The sequence below is a fragment of the Homo sapiens genome, chromosome 5, assembly GCF_000001405.40.
Source record: "Homo sapiens chromosome 5, GRCh38.p14 Primary Assembly".
NCBI classification, from domain to species: Eukaryota; Metazoa; Chordata; class Mammalia; order Primates; family Hominidae; genus Homo; species Homo sapiens.
The window spans coordinates 36,244,648-36,260,125 of record NC_000005.10 but is presented as its reverse complement, the minus strand read 5'-3'; the positions used below and the strand labels follow the sequence as shown (position 1 = coordinate 36,260,125).

Sequence of the window (15,478 nt, the reverse complement as noted above, 5' to 3'; positions counted from 1 at the left end):
CACCTCAGCTTCCCAAAGTGCTGGGATTATAAGCTTGAGCCAATTTGTTCTTATCAGTTAACCACAACCCTAACTTCAAGCTCTTACATCAAAAAGCATTATTATAACTTTCTTTTGCTAGCTTTCAGAGAAAATTCATAGTGCTTTACTTGCCTAGGAGAATATACTTGCCTAGTGAAAACCCCTCACGTTATTACCATCATCCTTATTTAATGTTCAGCATCCTCTTGCAATGAGGTAACTGCTTCTCTGATCCCCACAGAACTCTGATCTACAGTGGAAAATTTTACAGAAAAGTGAAAGCTGTGGAAAACCATGCCTATGGTTTTATCTGGTCCATCACATCTTCATACCTTTTCCAGCTTTCACTCAAGTCAGGAAAGTGGCTGAGATAGCTCGAACGTGCCTAGCTTGTCTCAGGGATACCAGTTACATGAAGAATCCCAAAGAAGCTGCAGAGATTTAAAAACCCATGTACGGATTTAGATTAATAAAAGAACCAACTCGTTAAGCCAGTTCATTCCATTTTTTTTTTTTTTTTTTAAGATGAGGTCTTGCTCTTTCACCTAGGCTGGAGTGCAGTGGCACGATCTCGGCTCACTGCAACCTCTGTCTCCCTGGCTCAAGGGATCCTCCCACTTCAGCCTCCCGAGTAGGTGGGACCACAGGCACGTACCACCACACCTGGCTAACTTTTTGTATTTTTGGTAGAGACGGGGTTTCACCATGTTGCCAGGCTGGCCTCAAATTCCTGAGCTCAAGCGATCCACCCGCCTCAGGCTCCCTAAGTGCTGGGATTATAGGCATGAGACACTGCGCCCAAACTCATTACAAAATTTTTAGGGCTTTCATATGTTAGTCATTTTAAAGGCTTAGTTTATTTAGGAACCCTTCTGTCATTCCCAAAATGAAGGTCAACTCACCAATCCTAGAGCTGTGACCTATGCCTTTGGATGTGAACCAAAATGGACCAGCCTCCATGGTGAATTTACAGGCAGTATATTTAGGCACATTTATTCCATATCATTTATTTCTAAGTTTGACACCAGATTAGCCACAGTGTCTGTAAAATGTCAGACAATGCTTTCCAAACCTCACAGGATCAACTTAACATTCAACTCAATTTACCAAACATGTACTGAGTTCTTACGGTATATAAAGCATTGATCTCAAATTTGGCTGCCTGTTAGAATCATTCTTTTAAGGATTTCCTATGCCTGGCCTCATCCCAGACCAATTAGCTCAGAATGCCTGTGGGTGAGGCCAGGTGTCAAGTGATTCCAATGTACAGGCAGGTTTGAAAACCACCTAAGTGGTTATGCAAGCTAAAGGAGACACTGGGCCCTAAAGGTGCTTATAATCTAATAAGAGCAGGCAGAGAGATACCTATACAAATAAACTATAGTCAGGACTACGGGTTTTGTTTGAGAAGGCACTTGTGCACATTTCCTGTGGGCATTTTAAATGCTTAAAGGAACCTCAACTTATAAAGGCTTATAAAGGAACCTGAACTATCTCTTTAAGTTGGTAATATCTTAAGGATAACAGGAATTATAGAGATAATTTGTGTTTGTCCTCTAATCCTGTAAATTTTTGGCCTTGTGATTTGGGGGCCAGGATGCACTCTTGGCTTATTGGCTGACTATGTGTTTTTAGAGTGAGTCATTTAAACTTTCTGTGCCTCAGTTTCTATTTTCTTAAAATGGAAATAATTATACCCATCTCTACCAATTTTGAGGGAATATCTTGATGTCTAGTTAAGTAATGTGAAAGAATTTTCAGTTCATAAGGGAAAAAATGTAAGCCTAAGTTCTTAAGTATCATTGTTCCAGTTCTCTGTGTTTTGCAGAGGGCTACACATTATCACAAATGTCATGTCAATTAGTCTTTTTTTGTGCAGGCCTTGATTACAACAGACATACAGAGCCCCAAGTAGCCTTAAAAGCTACTGTTGGCAAAATCGTCTGGGAGGAAAAGTTAGGATTTTTTCTAAAAAGATGTTCTCTGAGACATCTTGTGGGGGTCTCTGGATAACTTTTTTGTTTTTTTCCATAAAGTGGATAGCAAGAGTAAATTTCTGGGGATACTGAAATACCTTGGTATATGTTTCTATTACTATATACAGAGCTGTCACTTTAAATTTCTAATGGTAAATTAATTAAAAGTAATATTAAATTGAATTATACTTTTTAACTCCCGAGTTCAAAGGCACATTTTCTTTCTTTTCTTTCTTTTGTACCTCCTGGGCATCAGTTTAGTCTAGTGAGAGTGTGGAACATCTATTACCTTCTTTTGTGCCCTTAGACCTTTCCCATTGCCTCCGGGACTAGATCCCACCTGAAGTAGGCTGGTGGTAACTAGATTATGTTTTCTGAGGATTAGAACTAAGGCTTTCTAACAATAGAGACGATTTCTCTGTTCAGCACACAGAAAGTCCAAAACAAAAACATACCAGCTAGGTTTGCTTGCTGTGTTGAAACAGAAAAACGGAAGTGTCTTACTGCAAACATAGTAGGGATAAAATTAAAACTTTTATTAAATAAAATAATGCATCTTTTTCCGCTCTCAGGGTACTCAAAAACTCACCCAGCCTCAACTTGAAAATGATTCATATGCCAAGGAAAAACCATTCAAATCCATTCCGAAATTTCCTGTCAACTTTTTAAGTTCAAGTAAGAATTCTTTCATTTGTAAAACATTAGATTCACCTAGTTTGTCTCCTGTTTTTTATTTATTAACATTAATATTTAATATAAGTAAAATTAATATTTACTATAAGATTTAAAAAACCAATAATCCAGTGTTTCAAATATTTTGGTAAAGGTTAAAGCATATAAATATGATTATCTGATATATAAGCTTTAAAAATTTTTTGAGTTAATGCTATGGGGGAATTGATAAGGAGATTTTACACCAACTCAAGCAGTCTGAATTTTTAGAATCACTTACTACTAGAAGAAGCCAAGTAGATATATGTGGTAATAGGGGCAACAAAGAACTTTCACAGTAGAGAAAATGGGGACTTTTAAGTGTTTTTTCCCCATTTTCTCTTAGGAACAGACTCTATTAAAAATACTTCCCTAATTGAATCAGCTGCTGCATTCTCTTCCCAACCATCACGAAAATGCTTGCTGGAGAAAATTGATGTTATAACAGGGGAGGAAACAGAACATAATGTGTTAAAGGTCTGTATATCATGTTTTACTCTTTCTGGTAGCATTTACATACTTGGAATAAAGTTAACATGAGAAGAGGCATCTTTAAAAATACAGACAGAAGTATAGTTTTCATGGAGACTAAGTTGCTTAAATAAAAATGTTGGATGCTCTCAAAAATTGAACCAATAATTTATTTTCTTCTTGTGTTTGTATGTGTACCTGGCAGGAAAATGGGTTGTTAGGTTTACAACTATTCACATTAGTCCCTTAGAAATAAGACAGCCAAGTATCCTGCTTTAATACTTGCTTTTACAATTGGTGCTATTATTGTGATTAAATAATTCTACTTACACGTTTAACAATGTTGATAACTTGATTTCAGTCCAATAAGAATTTCGTTTTCCTTCTAAAAAAGTTTAGAATTTCATATAAAATTTAGCTTCCTTTAAAAAAGTTTAGAATTTCATGTAATTCAAGAATTTCACAGATACACACTACAGTATCACAGGATTTTAATGTTGAGTAGTATCACCATCAGCACAAGCACATGAAATGTAATTACTACAACTTTACCCTTTCCCAACAAGGCAGAAATTTCCCTTTGCCTTTCTCCATCTGCTTTTCTCTAAACTCTCTCCATTCCTCTCCACTTCCTCTATGATCTACAGACACTTTTATTTTAAGTGTGTCTCAAAGCATAACCCTTGGATTAGATTAATTCCAGTCTTATTGAAGTAATTGTTAGGGGTGAGGCTCCAGGATGCTATATTTTTAACAGGCTGTCTAGGTGATTCTTGTACACAGTAGTAATGATTGCAGTAGGGTAACCTGTGGTATCACATCCTACTTCTCCACGTTATCATGCTCTCTTTAAAAATATTGAAGCATGCAAATGGTTCAATGATTCTTTTACTTTCAAATAACATTATATAGCTCAAATAATTAATATAAAAATTGATGTATATATAGACATAGTGTTAAAAAATCAGAAAGTATGTATGGCATTCTACCATTGACAGAAAAAAAGAGGGGGAACATTTATATGTATTGGCATGTATGTATGTACAAATATCTCTGGAAAGATAAACAAAATATTTACACCAGTGGTTACTTGTTGCAGGGGTGGAAATTGGTAGATGGGAAATAAAAGCTGGGGGCCCTTTTCACTTTGTATGTCTTTTTACTTTTTGATGTTTGAACTATCCGAAAGTTATATGTTTCTAAATGTTAAATATATTTTAAAAGCTGGTTTATAAATCATTAACAAAGATTATTTTGGTAAAAGACTAGACACATATAAACGTGTCATAACATAGGAAATAATTTACTTTGAAAAAATTTTCTATATATTTGACATTTTAAAAAATTGTCATTTAGATAAACTGCAAGCTTTTCATATTCAACAAAACAACACAATCCTGGATTGAAAGGGGCAGAGGAACGTTGAGACTGAATGACACAGCAAGCACTGACTGTGGAACATTACAGTCAAGACTAAGTAAGGAATCCTTTTGTAAAGCAAGCCATAATTTGTCAGGATTTCTCCTGTGTACTTATAATAATATAGGTACACATCATTTTCTGGAGATGTGCTATAAAATACACCAAAAAATCAGACTGTTGAAAATATTTCTATAGGAGCTTCCCATTTCAAGTAGGCTCTCCTGTTAGACTGCATGGGCTCCAGTTCTGGCTCCAGCAGTGACTAACTAGTGACCTTGATAAGTTTTTAAATCTCTTTCTCTACTCTACTTATATCAATTTAAAATGGGAATAACTGTAGTTCATGACTTATTGAGTGACTGAGAGATTTCAATGAGATAAAGCATGTAAAGCACTTATATCAGAGCCAAGCACATACCTAAATAGTAATCTTATTATTATTTGAAAGAATATGATGCAAATTATTTTGTGAAGTGAAAAGATCTTCTAAAAGAAAATACTTGTCCCATAATTTATCCTTGGCATCCCAGACATGGGATGGGGGTCGGGATGAAGGATTAGTCTCTAAGGAAAGAGATTAGTTCTAAGGTGTGTAGTTATTGAATCCTGCAGGCACAGTGATGTTCAGAAGCTGGAGCCAGTCAAACCTAAAAATACAAGAGAGCTAGCATTCAAAATAATGCAATGGGCATTGTTCAGAGGTCCAAACTGAAAGAGAGCACAGGGAGAGATCTGGGCAGGATGAATGGATTTATTGGTCAATTTTGAGAGGTCAGGACTTTGGAGGAGACCACAGGTAGACACTGGATCCAAGAATAAGGTTATTTGTTGAGTTTTGGATATCAAACTCAAGAAATGGTTAAGAGATATAATTCAGATTAAAAGGACAGAAAGTGTCTTCAGTTCTGTAACTGGCACACAGATTTCTAAATCACCCAACCAAGTAATAGTCCCAAGGCAGGTCCAAGTTATTTACTACTCTGGTTTGATTCCACTGCCTGCCAAAGAAAAAAAAATACCCCCAAAGAAAAACAAAAAACAAAAAACAAACCCCAAAAGAAACTTTCTTTTTATTATGCAGGTAATACACATTCATTGTAAAAAACAGAAAGCATGGATTGAAAAAATTTTTTTTAAAGTCACTTAAAGGCCTATCTTCCTGAGATAACATCTATTAACAGAATATATTTTTCTGGCCTTTGTTTTCTGTATATATAGATGTACACATAGATTGTAAAAGTTCTGATTCATGGTGTTTATTTTGCTTTGTAGCCTAATTTTTTCTTTTACATATTACACCATGATTTTTCACATCAATAAATTTATTTTTGCAGTATTCTTAATGGGTTCATAATATTCTCTTGAATGACTACACCACAATTTATTTAACTAATTCCATTTTTTGGACACTTAAGGTTTTTGTTTTGGTTTTCTTCATTGTAGACAATTCGTGGACAAATATTCTTCAGACCATCAGTTCTTAAAAGGAGTTCTAAAATTTTAACCACTTTTAAATATTACAGTAAAAAAGTGTAATTTCAGCATTTAAGATAAAAAAGTTCTCCCAACATAATAAAGTATGATTTGAAAATCAAGTTTTAATCTAGTCAAATCACAAGTTAGTATTGAATCTACAGTCTGAAAAACAACTACAAGATTTATTTTGCTTTTGAAAATGGTAAATTCCTCCGTGTCAACTGTTCTGTGGCCTGATGTAGTCACCTTCCTATTTTAGTTATGCGCAATCAAGGCAGTCTAAGGCTGATCCTCAACAGCAAACTCTGGGCCCAAATGAAGATTCAAAGAGCAAACCACAAAAATGTACGAATAACAGCTACTGATTTAGAAGACTATAGCATCAAAATATTTTTAATTCAGGTAAGGGAGAAATTTCAGTGATAGAAGATTATCCTACTAAATTAATAGACGTCTGCAATTACTAATTTGTTTTTTCATTAGGTATAATAATCTGTACCATTGGCAAAAACTCAGCCATTCATTATGTCTGTTTATAGCATAAGACATAAATTTTATGTGAAATTCAGAAATTAACACCAAAGTCTATGTAATCAATTGGTACTCATTCCAAGACATTTGTGTGATACATGCCATCAAATCTCTAGCCTTTACTTTACTATTGAAATTTTGTGAACAATCTTACTGTTACCAAAGTGACTATTGTCAGGAATGGTTCCCAGGAAGAGGTTAGCAGACTTTGAAGCCTAATGCTTATCCTGCAAGCTGAGATTGAAAAAAGCCTTTAGGTCACTGGAAAAGAACCAGTGGGAAATGGAAAAACACAGAGCTAGCAAGTTAAAACAACCAGTCCAACAGCAAATTCCAATTCTGGACATGAGTAAATCTCCAAGGTAACAGGATGGGAGCACAGCTTTAGCTGTTCCTGGCAGAGGAATACTTGACCTCAAATACAAGATCCAGACCCAAGAGAGCTGGCAAGAATAAAGCTTAAAAAAACAAAACAAAATGAAACGCAAAAACAAAACCACAACCTCCCCTCAAAAAAAACTGGATTTCCCCATGGACTGACTGGAGAAGACTGATTACCCAAGTTCAGGCAGAAGGTGACAATACAAATAAATTGGCTTCCATGTAGTAATATGGAAAAAAACCTGGCAGGTGCCTGTGATGAAAAACCAAAGTTTATTAGCTACCAGTAAGTGTACTGTTAGGTGTAAGTGATATTGAGCATTAAAATGTTCTGGTAAGATGATGTACAAACCCCGTTTACCATTTAAGGTATTAATACTCTTGCCAGTCGTCTGGGCCAGATTCCCCCTTGGTTTTAGGTGGGTAAAGTAGCATGCCAGAGACTGAGCCTGTTAAACATGACTAGATTCCATCTTCAGAGATGGTCACTATTAACATTTTGGTCTTATATTTTAGTATACACATACAACTGTGTGTAAGAATATACATACATACATATATGTAGCATAGCGTACATACCGTATAACCTTCGGGAAAGCTACTTAGCCTTCTTTAAACTGATTTTATTCATCTGCAAAATGATGGTAACAATAGTACATTTTATTTATACATTTTATTATTGGCTTTAGAAAAGCTGCTGAGATTAAATAGCTAATATGACTGTGAAATACACATGTTATTTTACTTATCAATGTTAATGAGTGTCTTCATGACATTAGTTTATTCTTCAAAAATTGTTTCAGTAGGTGAAATAATTCTATTCTATTATGGACCATAATTTATTCCATTAATCCCACTAATGCGAATGATAAAACCTGGGATTCAACTTTCAGCCAATTTGCTGACTGGCAACTCAGACAAGTCATTTTACCCTTCTGAGCCATAATTTCCTCATTCATAAAGGGAAGAGGGAAACAAGCATATATTTAATACCTGTGCTGCTTATATTTTGCTAATATAAACGAAATTAATAACCCACAGTTTTACTGAAGGAATTGAAAAAAAGAATATTTTAACAGTAAATGTTATGCCAACTTTATTGTTACCATCGTTTTTATATTTTCATATGAATAACAACCATTAAAATAGCATAGGAAAATACTGAAAAGCAAGAACTTCTGCTGTATTTATGGTACAATACCATAGACTGCTCTAATGAGCTCAGCATATCCACAAAGCTATGTAGTTTGGAGGAATGTCCAAGCAAAGTGATGGACAGGAAATGGAAGTCTTTATTCTCTGCAATCCTACAATTTTCTATAGTGTAAAATAGTGAAAGAGGGATGGTCTTAACTAATTTAAATTCAAAAATTCAAATAGAAATTTTATATAACAAAATTTCACTTTCTAAATTTAAAATGTGTACATTGGGATTGCTTATAAAAGTATACATTTTAGGATTCAATTTGGTTCAAGATTGTCTTTTTACTGCTTAATTTTTAGGGTTGTTAGCACCTATGTACACTGTAGATTTATGCCATGTAATTCCTTCCTTATTAGTAGTGAAAGATTAAAAATCTGTAAAATGTAGCTAACATATTAATGATTTTCTTAACAATTTAATGTTCCTCATGCAGGCCAGTGCCCAAGATACAGCATATTTGTATGCAGCAATACATCATCGTCTTGTTGCACTTCAAAGCTTCAATAAGCAGAGAGATGTCAATCAAGCTGAAAGCCTGTCAGAAACAGCCCAACAATTGAACTGCGAAAGCTGTGATGAGAATGAGGATGATTTCATCCAAGTCACTAAAAATGGATCAGGTAAATAGCTTTTGTTTTGTTAGTTCAGAGGTTTAAAAAAGAATTCTTAAGCACGATCCTAATATATTAGGTAGATTTTTTAACAAGTGGAACTGCTCTGTTTAAAGTTAGTGGTGGCTAGAGCCTTAGTTGTTTGGATCTGAGGAGTGGGTTTGAAAATCACTGTCTTCTATAAGTGGTCTTCATTTTATCAAGTCAGCTTCATGGTGATGCCTATGTCATTTGCTTATAAACTGCATAAAAAACTATTACATTGCTACCCTGAAATTAACCCTTCATTTTTATTTCTCTTCACTTATTTTCATTTTATTATTGGCTATACTAGGAAGAATTATAAATACATATAATAAGCCCACTTGGTAAACTTGGCTTGATACCCTGAAAATTCGTTTATTCCCTTTTTAGAATTTGACTGCTTGTAAGAATAACTAGATTGTACAAATACTATTTTCAAGGACCTATTTTATCTAGGGGAAAAAGTACTATTTCTTTTATTGTATCAGGATTCACAAATAAAGTAAGGTTGAAGTGGAATCAGTGATAAACAGACTGTTAGGTTTTAGTGCTTATCTTGATATGTGGATTTAAAACTAATATTCGTACTTCTCTTTGGAGAAAAACAATGTCAAACATAGTAAGCTCAACTTTGTTATACAGATGTAATTATTCCAATAAAAGTCATCCAAGCGTTTTCACTAACAGTTTCACTTAGTCCTGAATTCTGTTTTACAGAGGACTGAGTAATACAATTACAACGATAGTGTGGTAACAAGCATTTTTTTCAACTCTTAATCATTTTGAAATATTAAAGCTGCTTTAATCATATGTAATTTAAGAATCTATCAAAGAACGTACATAACTGGATGAAATATCTTCCTTTGCTTAATATTAAAGCTATAATCAAAAGGAAAAATACACAAAACATGCAGATCAGTATTATAACCTGCTTGACCCAGTGATTCAGAAAACTAAGTGAATATGATTTTTTTTGCTACTTTAAGCAAATCTATTAAACAAATGGTTTATTAGTCTTTAAAACATATAAAATAAAAAAATCTTTTATTTTATAATAATGTTTACACTGCCAACAATAAAATGGGGTCTATCAGAGAACTAGTTGGTACACATTAACAATGTCAATTTGAAATAAGGATTAAATAGCAAATTCTCTCACTAACTAATGACACATGTTTATGATATCTATATTCTGTTATATTCCATTTTAGGAAAGGGGTGCTATGTAACTATCTTAATAAAAAACAATGAAAATAAGGCAAAGCAAATGTCAATCATATGAACCCCCTTTCCCCTGCCATTTTTTCCCATTTTCACTTAGTATCTTCTCCAGGAGGCAGTAAAAACAAATGCTAAAATGTTATGGAAGCAATAAAAGGTCTAATTTTTTGCACTTTGTTGCTTATAAATTATCTAAAAGAGGCATGATTAAAATTTTAGCAACATCTCTAAATGTTGCTTGTAAAAATGTATATTCTGTAGCTTTTATTTCATCACCAATGAGTATATTCATTAATATTCATGTTTAGTTGCATTCAATATTAAAAATCTACCCTAAATATAATATTGTATAATAAAACATTTTAAATTTATATCACAGATCCTTCTAGTTGGACTCACAGACAGTCGGTTGCCTGTTCATGAATACTACCTACTATAAACATGACATCTACAAAAAGAGGGGTCACCCTACTGAAAATACTAAACCACCCTAACTAATGAGAAGATTCTATTCATTCCTTGAAGAGTTTTTATAGAAAAGTTTAAGAAATGTAATTTGTTGCAATTAACATTTTTATGTTTTACATTTTACATTTTGATTATTGTGCAGAAACTGACAGAATTTAAAAAAATGGACTTCAGAAGTTCAAAATTTATCATTTTTGAAGAAGTTTATTTAGAATAGGATTTTATAACTAATTTGGACTCTTCATCACATTGATGGATATAATACTTAGAATTATAAATTGCTAGATTTGATAAATACCTAACAAAATGTTTATTTTTTTCAGTCATACTTGACCACAAAACAAATATTTTACTAAATTTCCAGAGTCATTTCTCTGAAAAATAGTATAATGGCATGATAACATTTCACTAAATCCTATTTATCTTCTGGGAAATATTTTAATTTAGCTTTTGGATTTCCTAATATGATAAGCTTATATATTCATGGTATGAATTCCTTTAAAAAGAGCATCTGCTCTTGGACTTGTATCTGTTGCATCTTGTCAATGTTTGACTCATGGTCAGCATCCAATAGTTGTTAAATGAATAAATAAAATATAATACATTACCTATGTATCAAAAAGCATGTGTAAGAAAGCCAAATATGTTAACTGTTCTACTTTATTTATGTAATTATATTTTCATTAGTATTTTAGTAGATGGGGCTGTATAGAAAAACAAATGTATCATATGTAGCCAAATGAATCTTTTTCTTAAATGATATTATTATAGTAGGCTACAGTAATTTCAACAATTTTACAATAGAGTTTTGATCCTCTTCTTTGCGATTTGTTTCAGAGACACCTCATGAATCACACAAGAAAATTAGTCTCAGTACTTATAGCCCTATTTCATTTTTCAATTCAGTTTTATCACACCATGGCTTCGAAGTGACTTTGATTGTGACCCCTAAGCAATTATCTGATTAGGGGATAAAAATTCATAATTCCAAGATGTTTCTGAAAATGTTCTGAACAATGACAACATATTTGGAATGAGGGCGTAATTTCACTAAGTGATGCTTCGAAGAACAATATTCATTTGGATATGCAAACACACATTTTCAAAAGTTATATTACTGTGTTACCATACCTGTTATAAAATAATAAAAATATATAAGTATTTATTAAGTCAAACTTCAGCTACTGCCTGAAAGTTTAGCATATGAAATTTAAATTAAGTCTTTCAGATTATGATTATGACAATTGTTCAACATTTTGTCCTTCCTTATAACTGAGAAAGCATAACTTAATATAACTACTAAGAGAGGCCCATTCATTCTTCCAGTGATTCTAGAAGAAATATGGCACATAATATCCTTTACTTCTAAATAAAGGAGTCAATGACTCAGAAAATAAAGAGGAAAAATAAAGTAAATGTGAGAGAGATGAAGAAAAGATAGAAGGGGAAAAAGAGATTTAGTACGAAAGAAAGGACAAAAAGAATGGACAACAGAAATACTCTTTTTTAAAATCAAGAAGAGTGACTCTGATGCGGAACACACTCAGCAGAAAATTTTCATTAGAAACATAACACAGAGAGATATTTGGAGAAGATAATAAAGCACTGGTTCTCTTTTATTGTTAAGATCTCAGCTGATGTGGGAACATTGTGATTGCACTATAAATTGCTAAAGTGAAGAAGAGAACAAATAACTTCATTTATTTATTTTGTTTGTTTTTTAGACAGAGTCTCGCTCTGTCACCCAGGTTGGAGTGCAGTGGCACGATTTCGGCTCACTTCAACCTCCCCCTCCCGGGTTCAAGGGATTCTCGTGCCTCACTCAGCCTCCTGAGTAGCTGGGATTACAGGCGCCCGCCATCATACCTGGCTAATTTTTGTATTTTTAGTAGAGACGGGGTTTCACCATGTTGGCCAGGCTGGTCTTGAACTCCTGATCTCAAGTGATACACTTTGCCTCAGCCTCCCAAAGTGTTGGGATTACAGGCGTGAGCCACCACACCTGGTCATCTTTATCTTTTTGACATGTTCATCCTCGTCCCCACACTAAGGTAGAGATAAAGCAATTATCTTCTCAATGCTTGAAACATTTTAAGTTGAATTCATTCTATGATTTTCTTTAGATTTCTCCGCATATATCAATGGAAAAAATTAACTATCTTAATTTCTCATCTATATAGAAATGCCAGTGCAACAAAACCAAATGTAGGGTTAGAATATCAGCAAGGCAAAGAGAGAAGAGAAAATTCCCAGATTATGAAATGGAGAAGAAGAACAGAAACATGATATTTAGCTCACAACTCTTTCAACCCATTTTCTATACACTCCATTATTCTTTCTTAGAATTCTTACACAAATATTTAGTACAATTTTGGAGGAATAGTAGAAACATTTTATAGTTTTTCCTTGTCCTGTATCTTCATCTAGCCTTCTTTTCAGCTTTCCTATGTCCTTTGTTCTCCTTTTATAAGGAGAGATGAGTTGTACAATAACATCCATTTTCATAAGTTATTTAGGTAAATTATTTTGAAGTATACATGTTGGATTTCCAAAGCAGCTGTTTTTAATTAAAATTTAATTAACTAATTTATGTCATTATATATCTTGTGTTAAGACAACCTTAACTTTCTTTTAGTAAGATTTTACCCAACTGTTTACCCTAATTATAGACAATTAAAATGTTCTCTCTTAAAAAATATTATTTTCCATCCATTACTGCCAAAACAAGGAACGCTTTTTCGCCAGGAGAATACATCCTATACAGCAGTGGTAACCAACCTTTTTGGCACCAGGGACTGGTTTTGTGGAAGACAATTTTTCCACAGGCTAGGGGGTGGGTAGGGTGGGGGTGGTTTTGGGATGAAGCTGTTCCACCTCAGATCATCAGGCATTAGAGTCTCATACGGAGCGTGCAACCTAGGTGCCTTGCATGAGCAGTTTACAGTAGTGTTTGCATCCTATGAGAATCTAATGCTGCCTCTGATCTGACAGCAGGCAGAGCTCAGGCAGTAACGCAAATTATGGGAAGCAACTGTAAATACAGATGAAGCTTCACCCCCTTGCCTGCCGCTCCTCTCCTGCTGTGTGGCCCGGTTCCTAATAGGCCAGGGACCGATACTGGTCCACAGCTCGGGGGTGGTGGACCCCTGCTATACAGGTCTTAGAGTATTTGAATGTCATAAAAAGAGGTATATATGTCTTTCATAGAGTCAGAATGAACATGAAGTGGGGGTGGGAAGGGTTCTGGGGGTTGGGAAGGATATATTTTAAAACCTCTGTAAATCTTCAAGTTGTGAATACCACAGTGATATATAATTTTCCCCATAAAATGTTGAGAACAGTTAAGCTTGCTTGAGATATGGCTATCACATGGTTGGCTAGACTCATTTACTAGAAAAGCACACCAGCCTCACCATAGATGGAGTCTGAGTTTAAAACTCAAAAATCCATGAATGCCAGCAGTTTTGTTTGGGAGGGTGAGGTCGGCGGATTGCCTGAGCCCAGGAGTTCAGGACCAGCCCGGGGAACATTGCACAACACCCCATTTCTACAAAAATTTCTAAAAATTAGCAGGGTGGCTGGGCGTGGTGGCTCACGCCTGTAATCCCAGCACTTTGGGAGGCCGAGGCAGGCGGATCATGAGGTCAGGAGTTCTCAGGACCAGCCTGGCCAGGATGGTGAAACCCCGTCTCTACTAAATATACAAAAATTAGCCAGGCGTTGTGGCATGCACCTGTAATCCCAGCTACTCGAGAGGCTGAGGCGAGAATTGCTTAAACCGGGAGGCGGAGGTTGCAGTAAGTCGAGATGGTGCCACTGCACTCCAGCCAGGGTGACAGAGCGAGACTCCATCTCAAAAAAAAAAAAAAATTAGCAGGGCATGGTGACACGCATCTGTAATCCCAGCTACCTGGGAGGCTGAGGTAGGAGGATTGCCTGAGCCTGGGAGGTTGCAGCTGTGTGAGCCATGCGGTGCAGTGCCACTGCACTCCAGCCTAGGGGATAGAGTAAGACCCTGTCTCAGGAAAAAAAAAAAAAAAAGATATTTGTAAACTATGGCACTGGAAGGAAGAATTATTGAAATGATTAGCTAATGTTTAGCCTAATCAAGACTTGATATGGATAAGTTTTCTAACAGAGTGTTACCAAGATTTCTTAATTTCTACCAATCTAGTGGATATAAAATATTATTTCACAATGACATTATTTGTATTTCTCTAATTTCCAATAAGGTTATCTTTTCAAGTATTTATTCACTGTTTGTGTTTCTTCTAAAAAATTCCTGCTCACGCCTGGGCACAGTGGCTCACACCTGTAATCCCAGCACTTTGAGAGGCCGAGGTGGGTGGATCATGAGGTCAGGAGATCGAGACCATTCTGGCTAAGATGGTGAAACCCTGTCTCTACTAAAAATACAAAAAATTAGCCAGGCCTGGTGGCACGCACCTGTAGTCCCAGCTACTCTGGAGGCTGAGGCAGGAGAATCCCTTGAACTCGGGAGGCGGAGGTTGCAGTGAGCTGAGATTGCACCACTGCACTCCAGTATGGACGACAGAGCGAAACTCCATCTCAAAAAAAAAAAAATTCACAATTTTTGCAAAGCTAATCATGTCATTTTCTCCTTTTGGTTGCCTCCTAATATATGCAGGATAAAAGGCAGGTTCCTAAGCATGGATTTAACATTTTCCATTGTCTTTACCCTTGTCTACCTCTCTAGCCTCACTTCCCCATGTTGCCTGCCTCTCTCTAAATTCTCTAAAATTTCAAAATTGCTAGTTCATTGCTTCTATGCATTTGTTCATGGTGTTTCTTCTGTGGAATTTCCTTCTCATTCTTGCTGATAATGGCTAATATTGAATTCATTACTTAAGGCTTAGCTCTTCACATTCCCAAAAAGCCTTCTCTAACTCTTGTTAGGTTGACTTGAGACTTGCTCCTCCAAATTTCTCAGCATTCTGTGT

General features: G+C 35.2%; 1 protein-coding gene and 1 long non-coding RNA gene across 14 annotated transcripts in view; one reads left to right on the top strand and one right to left on the bottom strand.

Moving 5' to 3' along the window:
- Positions 1-13,213, top strand: part of RANBP3L (RAN binding protein 3 like) — a 54,990-nt gene extending 41,777 nt beyond the window's left edge. For 5 of the 13 annotated variants that reach the window (NM_001323278.2, NM_001323275.2, NM_001323279.2 and 2 more), the window contains 6 exons: positions 2,570-2,672; positions 3,055-3,185; positions 4,536-4,656; positions 6,337-6,479; positions 8,627-8,813; positions 10,429-13,213. In NM_001323278.2, the coding sequence (NP_001310207.1) occupies positions 2,570-2,672; positions 3,055-3,185; positions 4,536-4,656; positions 6,337-6,479; positions 8,627-8,813; positions 10,429-10,472 (729 nt within the window). In that variant the 3' untranslated portion in view covers positions 10,473-13,213. Of the gene's footprint in view, positions 1-2,569; positions 2,673-3,054; positions 3,186-4,535; positions 4,657-6,336; positions 6,480-8,626; positions 9,515-10,428 lie in introns of those variants that run through there. The other 8 variants (XM_006714455.5, XM_006714453.5, NM_001323273.2 and 5 more) reach the window with 2 other exon arrangements.
- LOC124900962 (uncharacterized) overlaps positions 1-15,478 on the bottom strand; it is a 109,210-nt gene that overhangs the window by 90,986 nt on the left and 2,746 nt on the right. The window lies entirely within an intron of this gene.